At 42.9% G+C, this 4,950-nt stretch overlaps 1 annotated feature.

The window, feature by feature from the left end:
• Positions 3,874 to 4,534: an enhancer, noted in NCBI's record as "OCT4-NANOG hESC enhancer chr7:82267896-82268556 (GRCh37/hg19 assembly coordinates)". NCBI's record gives its function as "activates a minimal SCP1, AML or CMV promoter by ChIP-STARR-seq in primed H9 embryonic stem cells {active_cell/tissue: H9 hESC(primed)}" and the evidence as "EXISTENCE:reporter gene assay evidence [ECO:0000049][PMID:30033119]".

Consider the following 4,950-nt stretch of genomic DNA (forward strand, 5'->3'; position numbering starts at 1 on the left):
AAAACACAGCAAGAGAACCTCGTGAAGCATACACAAGTATCAATAGCCAAATCAGTCAAGCAGAAGAAAGGGTAACAGAGATTGAAAATCAACTTAGTGAAATAAAGCGAGAAGACAAAATTAGAGAAAAAACAGTGAAAAGAAACGAACAAAAACTCCAGGAAATATGGGACTATGTGAAAAGACCAAATATACGTTTGATTATTGTACCTGAAAGTGACAGGGAGAATGAAACCAAGTTGGAAAACACTCTTCAGGATATTATTGAGGAGAACTTCCTCAACCTAGCAAGGCAGGCCAACATTCAAATTCAGGAAATACAGAGAACCACCATGAAGATACTCCTCGAGAAGAGCAACCCCAAGACACATAATCATCAGATTCACCAAGGTTGAAATGAAGGAAAAAATATTAAGGGCAGCCAGAGAGAAAGGTCAGTTTACTCACAAAGGGACGCCCATCAGACTAACAGTGGACTCTCAGCAGAAACTCTACAAGCCAGAAGAGAGTGGGGGCCAATATTTAACATTCTTAAAGAAAAGAATTTTCAACCCAGAATTTCATATCCAGCCGAATTAAGCTTCATAAATGAAGGAGAAATAAAACCCTTTACAGACAAGCAAATGCTGAGAGATTTTGTCACCATCAGGCTTTCCTTACAAGAGCTCCTGAAGGAAGCACTAAACATGGAAAGGAACAACTGGTACCAGCCACTGCAAAAACATGCCAAATTATAAAGACCATGGATGTTATGAAGAAACTGCATCAACTAATGGGCAAAATAACCAGCTAGCCTCATAATGAAAAGATCAGATTCACACATAACAATATTAACCTTAAATGTAAACAGGTTAAATGCCACAATTAAAAGACACAGACTGGCAAATTGGATAAAGAGTCAAGACTTACCAGTGTGCTGAATTCAGAGACCCATTTCATGTGCAAAGACTCACATAGGCTCAAAATAAAGGGGTGGAGGAATATTTACCAAGCAAAAGGAAAGCAAAAAAAAAGCAGGGGTTGCAATCCTAGCCCCTGATAAAACAACTTTAAGCCAACAAAGATCAAAAGAGACAAAGAAGGGCATTACATAAAGGTAAAGGGATCAATGCAACAAGAAGAGCTAACTATCCTAAATATATATGCACGCAATACAGGAGCACCCAGATTCATAAAGCAAGTTCTTAGAGAGCTACAAGGAGACTTAGACTCCCACACAATAATAGTGGGAGACTTTAACACCCCACTGTTAAACTCTCCACCTCTCCACCCCAAATCAACAGAATATACATTCTTCTCAACACCACATCACACTTATTCTAAAATTGACCACATAATTAGAAGTAAAACACTCCTCAGCAAATGCAAAAGAACTAAAAAAATGACAGACTCTCAACCACAGTGCAATCAAATTAGAACCCAGGATTAATAAACTGACTCAAAACCACATAACTACATGGAAACTGAGCAACCTGCTCCTGATGACTACTGGGTAATAATGAAATGAAGGCAAAAATAAAGATGTGACACAAAGACAATGAGAACAAGGAACCAACATACCAGAATCTCTGGTACACATTGAAAGCAGTGTGTAGAGGGAAATTTATAGCACTAAATGCCCACAAGAGAAAGCAGGAAAGATCTAAAATTGACAACCTAACATCACAATTAAAAGAACTAGAGAAGCAAGAGCAAACACATTCAAAAGCTAGCAAAAGACAAGAAATAAGATCAGAGCAGAACTGAAAGAGATAGAGACACAGAAAACCCTTCAAAAAAAAAATCCAGAAGCCGGTTTTTTGAAAAGATCAACAAAATAAATAGACTGCTAGCCAGACTAATAAAGAAGAAAAGAGAGAAGAATCAAATAGATGCAATAAAATTGATAAAGGGGATATCACCACTGATCCCACAGAAATACAAATGACCATCAGAGAATACTATAAACACCTCTATGCAAATAAACTAGAAAATCTAGAAGAAATGGATAAGTTCCTAGACACATACACCCTTCAAAGACTAAACCAGGACAAAGTCGAATCCATGAATAGACCAATAACAAGTTCTGAAATTGAGGCAGTAATTAATAGCCTACCAACCAAAAAAAGCCCAGGACCAGATGGATTCACAGTTGAATTCTACCACAGGTACAAAGAGAAGCTGGTACCATTGAGAGGTGAAGCCAGCTGGACTTCCTGGTTGGGTCGAGTGGGGACTTGAAGAACTTTTCTGTCTAGCTAAAGGTTTATAAATGCACCAATCAGCACACTGTAAAAACACACCAATTAGTGCTCTGTGTTTAGCTAAAGGTTTGTAAACTCACCAATCAACACCCTGTAAAAACGGACTAATCGGCACTCTGTAAAATGGACCAATCAGCAGGGTGTGGGCAGGGCCAAATAAGGCAATAAAAGCTGGCCACCTGAGCCAGCAGTGGCAACTTGCTTGGGTCCCCTTCCATGCTGTGGAAGCTTTGTTCTTTTGCTCTTCACAATAAATCTTGCTGCTGCTCACTTTTTGGGTCTGCACTACCTTTATGAGCTGTTAACACTCACTGTGAAGGTCTGTGGCTTCACTCCTGAAGTCAACGAGACCATGAACCCACCAGGAGCAACAAACCAACTCCAGATGCACCACCTTTAAGAGCTGTAACACTCACTGTGAAGGTCTGTGGCTTCACTCCTGAAGTCAAGCAAGACCATGAACCCACCAGAAGGAAGAAACTCTAGACACATCTGAACATCTGAAGGAACAAACTCTGGACACACCATCTTTAAGAACTGTAACACTCACCACGAGGGTCCACGGCTTCATTCTTGAAGTCAGTGAGACCAAGAACCCACCAGAAGGAAAAAATTCCGGACACATTTTGGCAACCACGAAGGGACTATCACCAAGCTGTGAGTACCATCAGACCCCTTTCACTTGCTATTCTGTCATATTTTTCCTTAGAATTCGGGGGCTAAATACCGGGTAACTGTTGGCCAGTTAAAAGCGACTAGCATGGCCACCGGACTAAAGACACGGGTGTCAGGCTTTCTAGGAAAGGGCTAACAACCCCTGACTCTTCGGAGTTGGCAGCATTGGTTTGCCTGGAACCAGCTTCTGCTTTTCCTGTACTTCTGGGCTGAGCCAAGGGTCAACAGAGAGGAAAGCCATTCAGCTCTGGGGTCCCGACAACAAGCTGGTTGACCCTGCGGCCATGAGTGGAACTCTTAAAGTCACATCACCCAAGCGAGACTCGCCCATTTATCCTATCTAACCTGACCCTTTCCTCCTGGGTCCTAACGTCTGTCAGACAAACTTCCTCCTGCCTCTCTTCTCTGAGGCTAGTCCTTCTTCTAAAAACCACTCCCTGTCTCTGGTGCTTTTCTAGTTTCTACTGTAAGAATGATTTCTAGTATAAACTTCAGGACTCTGTTACCTTCTTTAGGCACCTGGGCTCACCAATCAGAAAGACGTAATTTTTGCCCAAAGCCCTGTCGGGGCGGGCGACTATCTGGAATTTTAGGATCCCTCCTCAGACTAGCAGGCCTAACAAAAGCTATTCCTGAAGCTAGGATATGGGGAACTTCAGAAATGGTATCTTTCCTATCCATATAAGTGAGGACAAAAGGCATCACTCTTCCAGCCCTGGAGATCCCTTCCCTCCCTCAGGGTATGGCCCTCCACTTCATTTTTGGGGCATAACACCTTTATAGGACAGGGGTAAGGTCCCAATACTAACAGGAGAATGCTTAGGACTGTAACAGGTTTTCAAGAATGTGTCAGTAAGAGCCACGAAATCCAATTTTTCTCAGTCCTCTTTGTGGTCTAGGAAGACAGGCAAGGGTGCAGGTTTTCGAGAATGCGTTGGTAAGGGCCACTAAATCTGAGTTTCCTTAGTCCTCCTTGTGGTCTAGGAGGAAAACTAATGTTTCTGCTGCTGCATCAGTGAGCGCAACTATTCTGATCAGTAGGGTCCAGGGACCATTGAGGGTTCTTGGGCAGGGGTTGTTTCTGCTGCTGTGTCGGTGAGCACAACTATTCCAATCACCAGGGTCCAGGGACCGTTGTGGGTTCTTGGGCAGGCAGAGAAACAAACAAACCAAAACCATGGTTGGTTTTGTCTTTCAAATGGGAAACACTCAGGCATCAACAGGCTCACCCTTGAAATGCATCCTAAGCCATTGGGACCAATTTGACCCGCAAATCCTGAAAAAGAAGAAGCTCAATTTTTTCTGCACTACAGCTTGGCCCCAATATTCTCTCTCTGATGGGGAAAAATGGCCATCTGAGGGAAGTATAAATTACAATACTATCCTGCAGCTTGATCTTTTCTGTAAGAGGGAAGGCAAATGGAGTGAAATACCTTCTGTCCAAGCTTTCTTTTCACTGAAGGAGAATACATAACTATGCAAAGCTTGCAATTTACATCCCACAGGAGGATCTCTCAGCTTACCTCCATATCCTAACTCTCCTTTCAATTAACGATAGGCCTCTTCTAATCTCCCCCACCCAGAAGGAAACAAGCAAAGAAATCTCCAAAGGACTACAAAAACCCCTGGGCTATTGGTTATGTCCCCTTCAAGCTGTAGGGGGAGGGGAATTTGGCCCAACCTGGGTACATGTCTCCTTCTCCCTCTCTGATTTAAAGCAGATCAAGGCAGACCTGGGGAAGTTTTCAGATGGTCCTGATAGGTACATAGATGTCCTACAGGGTCCAGGGCAAACCTTCTATCTCACTTGGACAGATGTCATGCTATTGTTAGATCTAACCCTGGCCTTTAAAGAAAAGAATGTAGCTTTAGCTGAAGCCCTAGAGTTTGGAGATACCTGGTATCTTAGTCAAGTAAATGATAGAATGACAGCAAAAGAAAGGAACAAATTCCCTACCGGTCAGCAAGCCGACCCCAGTATGGATCCCCACTGGGACCTCGACTCAGATCAGGGGGACTGGAGTCACAAACA

The sequence above is a fragment of the Homo sapiens genome, chromosome 7 (assembly GCF_000001405.40).
Source record: "Homo sapiens chromosome 7, GRCh38.p14 Primary Assembly".
Taxonomy (NCBI): Eukaryota; Metazoa; Chordata; class Mammalia; order Primates; family Hominidae; genus Homo; species Homo sapiens.